The sequence below is a fragment of the Homo sapiens genome, chromosome 1, assembly GCF_000001405.40.
Source record: "Homo sapiens chromosome 1, GRCh38.p14 Primary Assembly".
Classification (NCBI taxonomy): domain Eukaryota; kingdom Metazoa; phylum Chordata; class Mammalia; order Primates; family Hominidae; genus Homo; species Homo sapiens.
In genome coordinates this window covers 150,035,819-150,052,884 of record NC_000001.11, presented here as the reverse complement: position 1 = coordinate 150,052,884, position 17,066 = coordinate 150,035,819, and the positions used below count along the sequence as shown (strand labels likewise).

The 17,066-nt window shown below is 38.7% G+C and overlaps 1 protein-coding gene and 1 long non-coding RNA gene across 4 annotated transcripts in view; one reads left to right on the top strand and one right to left on the bottom strand.

Moving 5' to 3' along the window:
* OTUD7B (OTU deubiquitinase 7B) overlaps positions 1 to 17,066 on the top strand; it is a 129,842-nt gene that overhangs the window by 14,769 nt on the left and 98,007 nt on the right. The gene's annotated exons all lie outside the window — the stretch shown is intronic.
* The window catches only part of LOC124904413 (uncharacterized), a 45,061-nt gene that overhangs the window by 4,639 nt on the left and 23,356 nt on the right, over positions 1 to 17,066 (bottom strand). Inside the window, exon 2 of the long non-coding RNA XR_007066598.1 lies at positions 4,755 to 4,819. This is a non-coding gene — a long non-coding RNA (uncharacterized LOC124904413). The remainder of the gene's footprint in view (positions 1 to 4,754; positions 4,820 to 17,066) is intronic.

The following is a 17,066-nucleotide window of genomic DNA, read 5'->3' as shown; positions in this document are numbered from 1 at the left end:
GTGGCCTTATTTTTGGACTCTGCATTCTGTTTCATTGGTCTATGTGCCTGTTTTTTTTTTTGTTTTTTGTTTTCGTTTGTTTGTTTGTTTGTTTTACCAGTACCATGCTGTTTTGGCCACTGTAGTATAGTTTGAAGTCAGGTAATGTGATGCCTCCAGGTTTGTTCTTTTTGGCTTTGCTATTTGGGCTCTTTTTTAGTTCCATATGAATTTTAAAATAGTTTTTCCTAATTCTGTGAAGAATGTTATTGGTAGTTTGATAGGAATAACATTTTATCTGTAAATTGCTTTGGGCAATATGACCATTTTAATGACATTGGTTCTTCCTATCCATGAGCATGGGATGTTTTTCCATTTGTTTGTGGCTTCTCTGATTTCTTTGCACAGTATTTTGTAATTCTCATTGTAGAGATCTTTCACCTCCCTGGTTAGCTGTATTGCTAGGTATTTTATTTTTTTAGTGACAATTGTGAATGAGAGTGCCTTTCTGATTTGGCTCTCAGCTTGACTGTTGTTGGTGTATAGGAGTGCTAGTGTTTTTTGTACATTTATTTTACATCCTGCGACTTTGCTGAAGTTATCAGCTGAAGGAGCTTTTGAGCCAAGACTATGGGGTTTTCTAAATATGGAATCATGTCGTCTGCAAACAGAAATAGTTTGACTTCCTCTCTTGCTATTCAGATGCCGTTTATTGCTTTCTCTTGCCTTATTGCTCTGGCCAGGACTTCCAATACTATGTTGAATAGGAGTGGTGAGAGAGGGCATCCTTGTCCTGTGCCAGTTTTCAAGGGGAATGCTTCCAGCTTTTGCCCATTCAGTATGATATTGGCTGTGGGTTTGTCATAGATGACTCATTATTTTGAGGTATGTTCCTTTAATGCATAGTTTATTGAGAGTTTTTAACATGAAGAGAGCATAATATTTTTATATTGAAATAATCTTTTAGAAATGGCTCATTCCTGATCTGTCAAGCATTTAATCAAGATCACTGTTTTTCTTAACTAGAAAGACTGTTTAATATTGTAAAAGTAAATCATAAACTTTTTTATTTACATATCTTTCCATTTGAAGCAAATAAAATGTCTTTAATGTAGGACACTATTATTTAAGATTATTCTCTTAATAATAGTAGTAAATAATAACAACCACCTTTCATTAAGCTTTTACTATGTGCTGAGACCTTTACAGATATCTGAATTAACCTTTGCAACTTTCCTTTAAGGTGGATATTATTTTTATATTCCAGATAAACTGAGGTTCAGAGAAGTTGAATAACTTCCTTAAAGTGGAAGCAGATGGAAAGAAACCTACTTTTTAGTGGGCATTTCACTATATATTTTTGTACACATCCTTTTTATGTGTCTTGTTTTAGAAACTAGACATAATAATAATAATAAATAACATGTCATTTATTAACAATGACATGTTAAATAAAGTACAGAGTTTTACATGGACAGGACAAAAAAAGAGAGCAATAAACTTATCTAGGTGACTCATGTCAATAATTTCATTGAATAATATGGAATAAATTTTGAGAAAAATATCATGGAATTTCCAAATTTCCAGGTAAATTACAGAGATGTAGACATGAATTTCTTGTGCTCTTGTAACAAATGACATGACATTTGTTGGTGGTTTTTTTTTTTTTTTTTTTTGAGGCGAAGTCTAGCTCTCGTTGCCCAGGTTGGAGTGCAATGGCGCAATCTCGGTTCACTGCAACCTCTGCTTCCTGGGTTCAAGCGATTCTCCTGCCTCAGCCACCCGAGTAGCTGGGATTACAGGCTCCTGCCACCACGCCTGGCTAATTTTTGTATTTTTAGTAGAGACAGGGTTTCACCATGTTAGCCAGACTGGTCTTGAATTCCTAACTTCAGGTGATCCACCTGCCTTGGCCTCCCAAAGTGCTGGAATTACAGGCGTGAGCCACCGCACCCAGCCGTTTTTTTCTTTCTTTTCTTTTTTTTTTTTAAGGACTATCTGCCAGCAGTGATTAAAGACAGGATCAATTTCATAGAACTGTTTATTAAGAATTTACTTGAAAGCATGTTTTTACATAGTTTTAAATTTGGGTTTGGATTTTTTCAGCACTCAGACAGAGGGCGCCCTTGAATCACCAAGAACAGGCTCTGTAACACTGGGAGCTGGCATACTGAGTAATTGTTATGTGAATGAGGGAAAATGCATTGTTTTGGCTAAAATAGATTGCAAAATGCTTGTTTAGTGTTGGATTTAGCCTGTTTATGGCTTTAAATTTATTGAGTCACTGCATGAGTTTGCTGTTACATTATTTTTTCATTTCTTAAAGACTAGATAAAAGTAATTGCTGTAAGATTCAAATCAACAGGTGTTCTGGACTTGGAAGATTTGTTGAATTACTATGAAGTCACATCTAAAGTTTGAAAGGTGAGAATCTGATTATGATTTCCATTCATGTCTGACTGCAATTGACAGTAGTGTATCTGTCACTATGAATATATATATGTGTTAGGCCATGTGCTAAGTACTTTCTGTGCATTTTTCTCACAACTCAAAGACATAAGTAGTAGTGCTATCTTCTTTTTATTGTTTAAATTTTATTCATTTATTTCTTTTATTTATTTTTACTTGATTTCCTGGGATATGAGAGATAAATATTTATTTTTAATTGGCAAAAATTGTAATATTTATCATGTAAAGCATGCTTTTTTTTTTGAGACAGGGTCTCCCTGGATTGCCCAGGCTAGAGTACAGTGGCGCAATCATGGCTCACTGCAGCCTTGACCTCCCTGGTTCAAGTGACCCTCCAGCCTCTACTGGCACGTAACACCATGCCTGGAGAATTTTTTTAAAAGTTTTGTACAGATGGGGGTCTCACTGTTCTGCCTAGGCTGGTCTTGAATTCCTGGGCTCATGCTACCTTCCTGCCTCAGCCTCCCAAAGTGTTGGGATGACAGGAATGAGCCATTACACCTGGCCTCATGTACAACATATTTTGAAACAATAACCTTTCTTTTTTAAAAATGAGAAAATAGGGCTGGGCACGGTGGTTCATTTGTGTCATTCCAGCACTTTGGGAAGCCAAGGCGGAGCCCAGTAGTTCAAGACCAGCCTGAGCACATGGTAAAACCCATCTCTATAAAAAATACAGAAATTAATTGCGTGGTGGTTTGCACCTGTGGTCCTAGCTACTCGGGAGGCTGAGGCAGGGGGATTGCTTGAGCCCAGGAGGTCGAGCCTGTAATCAGCCTGTCTCAAAAAAAAAAAAAAAAAAAGAAAGAGAGAGAGAGAGAAGGAAAATAAAAGCTTAGAGACATTAAGATAATGTCCCCTAATAAGTGACAAAACTGAGATTTGAACTTGGGGATGTGAACACCGGAATCCATGCCTATGCCCAGAAAATTATACTGTAAATGACAATTTCCTCTGTTCATGGCACAAAATATACAAGTCATAGTGAATTGGGGTTTTTTCTGCTTCAATTTTCAGTTATTATTAAAAGTATATAGCAACATCCTGACTAACCACGATTTAATTTAGGAATAATATTGGGAAGTTAGACTTTTTTATTTCCTGGTGATATAGTAGTTTCAACTCAGATATAGAGAATAATTTAATTCCTGGTCAAGAGAACACTCAAATTTAGAGAGCAGCATGACAGAATGAAAAGAACATTGAATTGAGAACCAGGTAATCTGATTTATAGTGTATTTTACTACTACTGTCTGGAAAAGCTTCAGAACTGATTTAAGTTTACTAGACCTCTAAGTAGACGGGGCATGGTGGCTCACACCTGTAATCCCAGCACTTTGGGAGGCTGAGGCAGACGGATCACTTGAGGTCAGGAGTTCGAGACCAGCCTGGCCAACATGGTGAAACCTCATCTCTACTGAAAAAAAAATACAAAAATTAGCCGAGTGTGGTGGCGGGCGCCTGTAATCCTAGCCACTCAGGAGGCGGAGGCAGGAGAATTGCTTGAACCAGTGAGGCAGAGGTTGCCGTGAGCTGAGATCATGCCACTGAACTCCAGCCTGGGTGACAGGGTGAGACTCCGTCTCAAATTTTTTTTTTAATGAAACAAAATAAGAAAATAGACTAGGAAACTTGAGTTATTAATCTATGAGTTTTATGTTTTGTACATGGAAATCATTTTCTTTGTTTATATCCACATACTGTGTATGTCTTGTTTAATTTCTGGAAGTAGTGTATTAATACAATTTTTTTTTTTAAGAGTCAAGGTCTTACTCTCTTCCCCAGGCTGGTGTGCAGTGGTACAATCATAGTTCACTGCAGCCTTGAACTCTTGGGCTCAAGCAATCCTTTCACTGTGCTAATTTTATTTATTTATTTTGTGTAGAGATCGGGTCTCACTATTTTGCCCACGCTGGTCTTGAACTCCTGTCCTCAAGCAGGATATCCTCCTGCCTTGGCCTCCCAAAGTTCTGGGATTACAGGTATGAGCCACTACACTCAGCCTTATTAATATAAATCTAATAATATTATGTCTCTGTGTTAGCAATGGTATGAAACCCCCCAAATGGTGTTAGATCCAGAGTCATTTGTCTCTGACATTTCTTAGGAAATGTTTTTCCTTTCTATCGATGAATGGGTTCCTACGGATAGCTTGTTCATTCTCTCTTTAATTTTGGTTAAAGCATTTCCGAAAGTGGGAGGATACGTCTCCTTTCTTTAACTTCTGGTGGAAGGGTGTGGAATTTATCAAAAATATGAGGGAAGACTGCATAAATGTAGGGGCAGAGTATTTATATTAACATTACCTTGTTTTCTTCTGTGGGATATTTAGGAACTATTTTTTTTTCTGGAAGTAGTGATGGCATCAAGGCTTAAAGTAGGAAAGAAGTAAAGAGAATAATTGTGTAGTTATTATGTGAATGTTTAATTGAATGCTCCCTATTTTTAATTAAGATGTTTAAATTAAATGAATTTTTTTTTTTAAACGTAGTCTCGCTCTGTCGCCAGGCTGGAGTGCACGCTGGAGCGCGATCTTGTCTTACTACAACCTCTGCCTCCCAGATTCAAGCGATTTTCCTGCCTCAGCCTCCCGAGTAGCTGGGACTACAGGGACGCACCACCATGCCCAGCTAATTTTTGTATTTTTAGTAGAGATGTGGTTTCACCATGTTGGCCAGGATGGTCTTGATCTCTTGACCTCGTGATCCACCCGCCTCGGCTTCCCAAAGTGCTGGGATTATAGGCATAAGCCACCACGCCTGGCCTGAAATTATTTTTCTATACAGTTCTTAGAGGAAGTGTTTGGGTCACCTACATAGGCATGTAGTTCTTGACACTGGTTACTAGAGGATTTATAGAGGATGTTCATATATTCAACAAGCATTTGTTGAATACCTATTAGGTGCTAGCCATGGAAATATGGGATTGAAAAAAACAGACAAAAATCCCTAATCTCTCTTACAATCTAGTGAGGACAATCAGACAGTACACAAAATAAGCATAATATATAGTAATCATGTGGTAGTAAGTTCTATAGAGCAAAAACAAGTTTAAAGAAGGAGGTTGGGGGGAGTGTTGAGATGCATAAGGTTTGCAGTTATAAATGTGGTGGTTAGGGAATCATTTGCTGAAAAATGAACATTGAGCAAAAACCTGAAGGATGTTAAAGGAATAAGATACATGTAATCCAGATGAAAGTTTTTTGGATAAAGGAAAGAGCAATTGCTAAATCCCTGAGGTGGGAGTGGGCTGTTCATAAGACAGCAAAGCAGCCAGGGTAGCTGAGTGATTGACAGCGGAAGATGGAAAATGGGGAATAGTTGGTGTAGGACCTAGTTGTGAGGATATTGACTTTGTTTTTTTTCCAAGACAGAGCTGTGCTCTGTCGCCCAGGCTAGAGTGCAGTGGCATGATCTTGGCTCACTGCAATCTCCGCCTCCCGGGTTCAAGCAATGCTCCTGCCTTAGCCTCCCCAGTAGCTGGGATTACAGGCACCTGCCACCATGTCCAATTAATTTTTGTATTTTTAGTAGAGATGGGGTTTCGCCATGTTAGCCAGGCTGGTCTTGGACTCCTGACCTCAAGTGATCTGCCCGCCTCAGCCTCCCAAAGTGCTGGGATTACAGGCGTGAGCCACCATGCCCACCCTAGGATATTTACTTTTATTTTGAATAAGGATGCCACTGGAGGCCAGACGTGGTGGCTAACGCCTATAATCCCAGCACTTTGGGAGGACGAGGCGGGTGGATCACGAGGTTAGGAGATTGAGACCATCCTGGCCAACATGGTGGAACCCCGTCTCTACTAAAAAAAAAAAAAAAATTAGCCAGGTGTGGTTGCATGCGCCTGTAGTCCCAGCAACTCAGGAGGCTGAGGAAGGAGAATCACTTGAACCCGGGAGGTGGAGGTTGCAGTGAGCCGAGATCGCCCCACTGTACTCCAGCCTGGGTGACAGAGCAAGACTCTGTCTCAAAAAAAAAAAAAAAAAAAAATGCCACTGGAGAGCTTTGAGGAGAGGATCAGTCTGGCTACTGGGTTGGGAATTAATCATAGCAGGCAAAGGCAAAAGAAGTGAGGTTAGTTAGGAGGCTTTACAACAACCCAGATGAGAGATGGGAGGTTTTAGCCAGGGAGATGGAGATGTTGAGAGAGTAGCTGGACTCAGGATTGTGACAGTGGACTGAAGGAAAAGCAGGTTTTGGGGGAAGATTGCATTTCTCCCTTCAACTTCAGTTACGTAGATCACCCATATGCCACACAACTGCAACTCTGTAACAGCCAATTTTTAGCTTCTTCCTTATCTAAGCCATCCTGTAGGCCATAGGAATTAAAACTAGGTTGGATCAAGGAAAAGTGAATGCTAGATCCATACAAAACTATTTGGATATTTGCCTTTGTATTTTATTGTTTTGAAATTATTTTTAATGGTTCAATAAACTCTTACTAGAACTACAAGCAATATAATTATTTCCTCTGCTTTATTAGAAATGTTTTTGTAATCATGTTAATTATATTACTTTTAACTATATAAGGCTTGTGTCTCTTTTTTATAAATTGATGTTTATATCCTCTGTAAGATAAATATAAAGGCTTTTTGTTCATATGAGGATGTGCTGTAAGATTGCAGGGAGTATAAAAATTGGCAATGGAGTAGGTGACTTGTATTATTAGTCTGATCTTAATGTTGTAACATACTGATCATGCAAAATATATAATTAGTTTGTTTTTGCTATTTAATATGTGTAGGACTGTAACAAACAGACTAGAGAAGATGGCCATAAGTTACAAGAAAGCAAGTAAATTACTATCTAATTAAAAGTATTTGATTCTAATACTAGCAGAGTTCTGTCTAGAAAATAAATTAACTTTCTGTATGCTTTTTTTGGTCTCAATTTTCCAATAATTTCCCTCAACTCTGATATGTGTCTGTTGAATAATATTTCTGATGTTAAGAATTAAAGGGGGTGTAGATCAGTGGTAGGGCGCACGCTTAGCATGCATGAGGCCCTGGGTCAATCCCCAGCACCTCCACAAAGGTTTTCTGGCTGGACACGGTGGCTCACACCTGTAATCTCAGCATTTTGGGAAGCTGAGTTGGACAGATCACTAGAGGTCAGGAGTTCGAGACCAGCGTGGCCAACATGGTGAAACCCTATTTCTACTAAAAATACAAAAAAATTAGCCGGTCACGGTGGCACACACCTGTAATCTCAGCTACTTGGGAGGCTGAGGCATGACAATCGCTTGAACCTGGAAGGCGGGGGTTGTAGTGAGGTGAGATCATGCCACTGCACTCTAGCCTGGGTGACAGAGCAAGATTCCATCTCAAAAAAAAAAAAAAATTTAGTTTAAGAACAAATAATATTGTTTATTTTCATATGGGATTTGAAATCTGAATCTAATAATTATTGGTATTATTACTAATTCCCTTGCACCACTGAACAATTTTCTGTTTAGGGACGTTGGCTATAACAAGTATATAGACATAGTGATATATAAGTTTTCTGTTTTAAAACTGAGTTTCTTTTTTTCCCCTGCCAATTTAAAGGCACACAATCAGAGAGCTATTTTCACAGGTAACTAATACATCTTGTTTCTGCTTCATATTTTAAACTCTTATTTTTCACCCTTATGAAGTTGGAAGGAGTAGATGTGTTTATTTTATAGACAGACTATAATGTTGGGTTGTTGTAAGTGATTTTCTTTGCTACATATCCTTGAACTTTATTTTTATTTATTATTATTATTATCATTATTATTATTTTTTGAGACAGAATCTTGCTCTGTTGCCCAGGCTAGAGTGCAGTGGTGTGATCTCGGCTCACTGCACCCTCTGCCTCCTGGGTTCAAGCGATTCTCCTACCTCAGCCTCCCAAGTAGCTGGGACTACAGGTGTGCACCACCACCCCAGGTGGTGGGCTCATGCCTGTAATATAACAGGTGGCTCATGCCTGTAATCCCAACACTTTGGGAGGTTGAGGCGGGTGGGTCACTTGAAGTCAGGAGTTCGAGACCAGCCTGGCCAACATGGTGAAATCCCATCTCTACTAAAAATACAAAAATTAGCCAGGCATTGTGGAGTGCACCTATAATCCCAGCTACTTGGGAGGCTGAGGCAGGAGGACCACTTGAGCCTGGGAGGCGAAGGTTGCAGTGAGCCAAGATCATGCCACTGCACTCCAGCCTGGGCTATGGAGCAAGACTCCATCTCAAAAAATAAAAAATAAAATAAACCTTTAAAAACTCTTAAATTTGAAAAAAATATAATTGGGTGAGATTTTATTTACTCAGACCAGTTTTTATTTTATTTTATTTTATTATTTTTTTGAGATAGGGTCTTGCCCAGGCTGGAGTGTAGTGACCCTATCATGGCTTACTGCAGCTTTGACCTCCTGGGTTCAAGAGGTCCTCCTACCTCAGCTTCCTGAGTAGCTGGGACTACAGGCACGTGCCATCATGCCTGAATAATTTTTTAAAATTTGTAGGGGAGGAGTCTCTCTATGTTGCCTAGGCTGGTCTTGAACTCCTGGGCTCAAGTAATCTTGTAATCCTTTAGCCTCAACCTCTCAAAGTGCTGGGATTACAGGCGTGAACCATAGTGCCTAGCCTCAGGCTTGTTTTTATATACATTGTGTGAAATCACTAAATGTGTCTACATCCTTGACTATGAGGAAATGGGCTTCTAGTATCACCTGAAAAATGTTATAATAATTATAACCCATATTGAACTCATATTCCTAAAATTAGAGAATCTTAAGAATCCTGAGTTGCAAGGGAATGTAGTGATCAACTAGTTTGATGTAAAAGTCCCTCTTCAACATCTCTGGCATAAAGTCATTCATCATCTGCTTGACTATGTCCAAATAGGGGTGAACTCACGAATTCACAATAAGTCTATTCCATTTTTGAAGAGCTCAAATTGTTGGCAATCTTTTCCTTACATTAAAGCGGAAATCTATCTCCTTCTAATTTCTACCCTTTGAACTTACCCTCCAAAAACTGTATGGAATAAATCTAAAGTATTTTTCACATAAGTGGCATCTCTCATGTTCTGCCAACCAATTCTTTTTTATGTTTGTTTTTAGTACTAAATATCCTACGTTCCTTTAAAATTCTTTATATGACACGGGTCCTAACACCTTTTTACCTAGTTGATCTGCTCTGTACTTAACTGAAGCTTATCAGGGTATCACTTAGAGAAATAGTTGTCAAACTTCAGCGTGCTAGAATAAACTCATCTTGAGGGTGCTTGTTAAAAATGGAGATTCCTGAGCCCTCCCCCTAGAGATTCTGACTTAATAGATCTGAGATGGGGCTCAGTATATATACTTATAATAGTACCACTGGCGATGCTGGTGCAAAGGTCTCTGGACTTTGCTTTGAGAATCATTGTTGGAAATGTATCTCTGAATACATTTCTGAATGTATTTTATATGAAGAATTTAGTTTAAAAACAAATAATGTTATCTATTTTAATATGAGATTTGAAATGTGGATCTAGAAATTATAGATATTCTTACTAATTCCTTTGCACCATTGGACAATTTTCTGTTTAGGGACATTGGCTATAACTACTATATAGACATAGTGATATATAATTTTTCTGCTTTAAAACTGAGTTTCTTACATTTCTGAATGTATTCAGAGATACATTCTGAATTCCTTACCTTAGGGCCTTAGTGGTGGGAAAGATCTCTAAATTCCTTACCTTAGGGCCTCAGCTAAGTGGGAAAGACAAATGTGTAAAATGACTCTTACAAGAAGGAGCAGGGTGAAATGAGGGCATGCTGCTCATTAGCCCAGTGGATGGGGCCAGTCTTGGGAGTCTCAGCCCTAAAGTGGAGGACTAGTTCTCTGGGTGGAAATGAGTGTAAAGGGAGGAGTGGGAGGAAAAAAATATGTATAGTGCCAACAGGTAACTAAAAAGGTAACTATCTGCTTGTAAGGTAAAAAGAACTCTTGGGGCGGGTTGCGGTGGCTCAAACCTGTAATCCCAGCACTTAGGGAGGCTGAGCGGGGGCGGATCACCTGAGGTCAGGAGCTCGAGACCAGCCTGGCCAACATGGTGAAACTCCATCTCTACTAAAAATACAAAAATTAGCTGGGTGTGGTGGTGGGCGCCTGTAATCTCAGCTACTTGGGAGATTGAGGCACGAGAATTGCTTGAACCTGGGAGATGGAGGTTGCAGTGAGTCGAGTCCGCGCCACTGCATTCCAGCCTGGGCGACAGAGTGAGATGAAGGAAGGAAGGGAGGAAGGGAGGGAGGAAGGAAGGAAGGAAGGGAGGAAGGAAGGGAGGGAGGGAGGGAGGGAGGGAGGGAGGGAGGGAGGGTCTGCACCTCTGCATTCCAGCCTGGGTGACAGAGTGAGACTCTGTCTCAAAAAAATAAATAAAGAAAGAAAGAATTCTTGGGTTAAAGGGTAAATCAAAATGGAAATTAAAGACAATACTGAAAACATTACAAAGCAAAACCTATAGTGTACAGAAAGTGGCATTCAAAAGAAGATGTATAGCTTTAGAAATGCACTCAAAGAACATAAAAGATTGAAAATCAATGAACCAAACATTAAACTCAATAAGCTAGGCAAAGAACATTACAAACAACTCTTTTAAAAGTTGGGGGATGGAATTAAAAGAGATAAAGCAGAAATTAATGAAATAAAAAACAAACAATAAAAGGCACACTCAATTAGTGTACTAAAAATCTGATTATTTGATAACCAATAAAACAGACCAATCTTTGGCAAGTCTGATTAAAAAAAGAAAGATGGAGAAGGAGAGAAAATATAAAAATAGCATCAGGGCCAGGTGCAGTGGCTCACGCCTGTTTTCCTAGCACTTTGGGAGGCCGAGGTGGGTGGATCACTTGAGGCCAGGAGTTTGAGACCAGCCTGGCCAACATTGTGAAACCCCATCTCTACTAAAAATACAAAAAATTAGCCGGGTGTGGTGGCATGAGCCTGTAATCCCAGCTACTCTGGAGGCTGAGGCATGAGAATCGCTTGAACGCGGGAGGCGGAGGATGCAGTGAGCTGAGATGGCACCACTGCACTCCAGCCTGAGCAACAGAGTGAGACTCTGTCTCGAAACAAACAAACAAAAACAACAACAACAAAGCATTGGAATGAAAAGGACATATAATCACAGAAATAGTGAAGATTTTAAAAGCATACTAATGTATTGCATATTACCTTATAGCAATAAATTTAAAATTCGGGTGAAATTTATCTAAGTATATAACAAACCAAAATTGACTCAAAAAGAGGTGGGGAATCTAAGATATTAAAAAAAATTATTGAAGAAGAAAAAGAGCACAATATAGTTAACATGACTGAACTGTACACTTAAAAATTATTAAGATGGTAAATTGTATGTATTTTTTTAACTACGATGAAACAAATTTTTTTAATTAAAAAAAGGAAAAGAGGCCAGGCGCTGTGGCAAACACCTGTAATCCCAGCACTTTGGGAGGCCGAGGAGGGCAGATCTCTTGAAGTCACAAATTTGAGACCAGCCTGGTCAACATGGCGAAACCCTGTCTCTACTAAAAATACAAAAATTAGCTGGGCATGGTGGCGGGAACCTGTAATCCCAGCTATTTGGGAGGCTGGGGCAGGAGAATGGCTTAAACCCAGGAGGCAGATGTTGCAGTGAGCAGTGACTGCACCATTGCACTCCAGCCTGGGCAACAGAGTGAGACTCCATCTCAAAAAAAAAAAAAAGGAAAGAAAAGGTCTCAAGTCTAGGTGATTTTATGGGCAAGTTATAGATAATCTCTAAAGAAGAGACAAATTCATTTGTTACTTTCACATTTCCATAGCATAGAAAATAATGAGACATTTGCAATATATTTCTGTAAGGTAAATCTTAATAAGGGAAGCAAACAAGTATGGCACAGAAAGAAATACTTGTATCAATCTCATTTATAAATGTAAATATAAAAATATTAAATCAAAAATTAGCAATTTTAATTCAACAACAGGTTAAACAAAAAATAGATCATGGATATCTACTAGAATATAAGCTCCATGAGGGTAGGAATCATTGTGAGTTCCTTTAATACAAGCTAAGTGGCCAGAAAGCTGCCTGGCATATATTAAGTACATGAATATTTGTTGAATTGAATGAACTGAATTAACCAAGTAGGTTTGATCCAACTGTGGTTGACCTTAAGGAATATGTTCAGTATACTGAAAGAAAAATAATAAAAGAGATCATCTTTCTAAGATACTGAAAACCCTATTGATAAAATTTAACTCCCATTCCTGATAAAAGCTATTGTAAGCTAGGAAAAGGAAATTTCCTTAATTTGATGTAGGCTATCTATTTAAAAACTTAAACATCACAGTTTATTATGAAACGTTAGAAGGCTTTTCATGAATAACACAAAAAATGCCTGCTATAACTGCTGCTATTCAACAGTGTTCTAGAGGTCTTAGCCAATGGAAAAGAAACATAGAAATGAGTTAAATACTGGAAAGGAAGCAACAAAAATCATTATATACACAGGCAATAGAGGTAATCTAAGACAACCAATGAAGCACTAATTTGAATTAATGAGAGTGCAATAAAATGGCTCCGTATAAGGAAAACAAAATCAGTATCTGCTCTTATGCCACAATAACTAATGAAAAAATGTAGAGGAAAAAAATTACATTTATAAGAATAACAAAAGCCTAAACTGGACAAGAAATGTGTAACACTTATATGAGAAAGAAAGTATAAATATTTTCTGAAAGACACTTTAAAACATTTTGAATAGGCCAGGCGCAGTGGCTCATGCCTGTAATCCCAGCACTTCGGGAGGCCGAGGCAGGCGATCACGAGGTCAGGAGATTGAGCCTATCCTGGCTAACACGGTGAAACTCTGTCTCTATTAAAAATACAAAAAATTAACTGGGCATGGTGGTGGGCACCTGTAGTCCCAGCTACTGGGAGGCCGAGGCAGGAGAATGGCTTGAACCCGGGAGACGGAGCTTGCAGTGAGCCTAGATCGCGCCACTGCACTCCAGCCTGGGTGACAGAGCGAGAATCCGTCTCAAAAAAAATTTTTTTTTTAATAAATGAAGAGATAATATAATTTATGATAATATTCAGTCTTATGATTATGGTAATCTCTCAATTAATCATTAAATTCAATGTAATCTCAATCAAAACCTTGATAGGAATTTGACATATGAAGAGAGAATTGAGGATAGGAACTTGACATATGAAGAGAGAATATAGACAAGAACAGACAATTGTAAAAGTTTTTTCTTTTCTGTTTTTAAAGAGCAATGAATAGCATATAGGGCTGGAAGAACTTGCTCTATTAGATATTAGAAAGACAAGAGTAATTAAGATAGTTTAGTAATGGCAAAGGAAAGCTAAATAGATTGGAATAGAGTAGAATGTATCAAAATAGATCCATATATATGGAAATTTACTTAATAATAAAGATTACATTTCAAATCAGTGGGGAAGAAATGGACAGTATAAGAGGTGTTCAGACCATTAGTTATTTATTTGGACACTAAATAAAGGTAGATTCCCTCCCTGAAACCCTACACAGAAAGAATTATAGATGAGTTAATTACTAAAATGTACAGACAAAAATTATAAAAGTACTACAGAAAATAAAAATAATTTTTATTCTTGAAACTGAGATTAGCTTTTCTAAGCAAAACATAAAACTCAAAAATCATGAAGTGCCATAATTTTAGACTTTATAATTTAAGAATGCATAATAAAAATTAAGAATAACAACTTAGGCTGGGCGAGGTGGCTCATGCCTGTAATCCCAGCACTTTGGGAGGCTGAGGTGGGTGAATCATTTGAGCTCAGGAGTTCAAGACCAGCCTGGGCAACATGACGAAATCCCGTCTCTACTAAAAATACAAAAATTAGCCAGGTGTGGCGGTGTGTGCCTGTGGTTCCAGCTACTCAGGAGGCTGAGGTGGGAGAATTACTTGAACCCAGGAGGTGGAGATTGCAGTGAGCTGAGATCATGCCACAGCACTCCAGCCTGGGCAACACAGTGAGACCCTGCCTCAAAAAAGTAAAAATAAATAAATAAATAAACAATTTAAAGAATGAAAATAAAATGTAAAACTTGGATACTAAATAGAGGAAAGAAAGAATAAAGAAAACATAGTCAATCCAATAGAAAGCAGGAAGTGAAGAGAAAAGGGTATGGAAAAGAAATCTAAAAAGCAAAAAAATAAAGTGGGGGAAAATAACTCATTTAAATGTGTCAGTAATCACAATAATTAGGATAAATGGATTACAGCACCAGTTTAGCTGGGCCCAGTGGTTCACGCCTGTAATCCTAGCACTTTGGGAGGCTGAGGCGGGTGGACTGCTTGAGCACAGGAGTTTGAGACCAGCCTGGGCAACACAGCAAGACCCTGTCACTACAACAAAAATACAAAAATTAGGGTGTGAAGGCATGCCTGTAGTCCCAACTACTTGGGAGGCTGAGGTGCCCTGAGCCTGGGGAGGTGGAGGCTGCAGTGAGCTATGATTGCACCACTGCACTCCAGCCTGGGCAACAGAATGGGACTCCATCTGAAAAAAACAAACAAAGCTACCAGTTTATAAATATATTCGTTTGTTAGATTTAAAAAGAGATATAAAATAAATATTTTATTTAAAAGATATCAGAATGATTGAAACCCCGTCTCAGCTGAAAATACAAAAATTAGTTGGGCATGGTGGCATGCACCTGTAATCCCAACTACGCGGGAGGCTGAGGCATGAGAATCGCTTGAATCCGGGAGGTGGAGGTTGCAGTGAGCTGAGATCGCGGCACTGCACTCCATCCTGGGAGACAGAGTAAGACTCAATCTAGAAAATAAAAAAAGAAAAGTAGATACAAACTTCATCTGTAGTGAGAGAACAATACTGTCCAGATTATACCAGTCTTGAATTTTTCATAATTAGCAATTTTTAATAAAAAAGGAAAATATATGAAGAGGCTTGAAATTTATATAAGGTATCATCTGCCAAAATAGATACTTATTAGCCAACTTTCAAAATGTCGTGTATCTTTTCTCCCATTCTCTTTGTTCTTGGAGCTGTATGCCTTTACTGCCATTTTAGTGGGGTTTATACAAGGCAAATGCTTGTATTTGATTCACTATCTATAAATAGTCCTTTTCTTCAGATTAAGGAATGGGCAATAAGCTTTTACTTAAAAAAAAAAAAAGAGGGTATTTTGTGCGGCTTCTTGAACATTTTGTGATCTCTCCTATCAAGGACAGCCAGCATGCTTTCTTAGGAATTGATCTTCAGCATCACTTCCATTAGATAGAATGCTGAGTTGACCGGACTGTATCTGATCTAATTTTTGCTAGCTCTTATTTTCTCGTATATGCTTGAAAATTGCCCTAAATAAAGGACATGCCATATTTAAAAATTAACAGTTGTAGTTTTTGTCTATAGGATGAATAGGAGCAGTAAAAGAGCAGTTTACCATTATTTTAAAAGGGTTAGACAGCTGAGTGTTTATACATTGCTTCCATTTAGATCTTACTAGATGAATAATTCAATTCTAAGAATGAGTTAATGACATACATGAGCTCACATTATTCAATTTTGTGTGTGTGTATGTGTTGTTGTTATTAAGCTGTTGTGGAACAAAGATTTTTTTATTAAGTAAGAAAAACTAATGATTTTAATCAATATGGAAATGGTCTTAAAGTGTATCTTAATTTTCTTAATTTCATGATGTTTATTTCTAGATCCGCTCCTTTGTGGATCATTCTATTAAAACAAATTTTTCATATTCACTGTAGCTTTATTTATGATCATAAAAATTTCAGCAACGGAAAAATGGTTGATTACATAATAATGATAGCTTCACTCCTTGGAATGCTGAACTTCAAAAAAGTTACAATGGGCCAAGTGTGGTGGCTCAGCCTGTAATCCCAGCACTTTGGGAAGCTGAGGTGGGTGATCACTTGAGGCCAGGAGTTTCAGACCAGCCTGGCCAACATGACAAAACCCCATCTCTACCAAAAATACAAAAATTAGTTGAGTGTGGTGGCACATGCCTGTAATCCCAGCTACTTGAGAGGCTGAGGCAGGAGGATCACTTGAGCAGGGAGGTGGACGTTGCAGTCAGCCGAGCTCGCGCCACTGCACTCCAGCCTGGGCAACAGAGCAAGGCTCTGTCTCAAAAAAAAAAAAAAAAGTTACAATGAACTGGGCACGGTGGCTCTTGCCAGTAATCCCAGCACTTTGGGATGCCCAGGTGGGAGGATTGCTTCAGCCCAGGAGTTCAAGACCAGCCTGGGCAACATGGCAATACCCCATCTCTACAAAAAAATACAAAAATTAACCAGGTGTGGTGGCACGTGCCTGTGGTCCCAGTTAATTGGAAGGCTGAGGGGGGAAGATCGCTTGAGCCCGGGAAGGGGAGGTTCAGTGAGCCGAGTTTGCACCATTGCACTCCAGCCTGGACGGCAGACAGAGAATGTCTCAAAAAAAAAAAAAAAACAGTTACAATGGTGAAGACCACATAGTAACATGATAAAGTCTCACCAAAAAGCAATGTATGCGTAAGTAGCAGGCAAAGATATTTTATGGGAGAGGCAGTTGTGATGTCATTAAAAGATACTGACTTTGAACCCAAAGC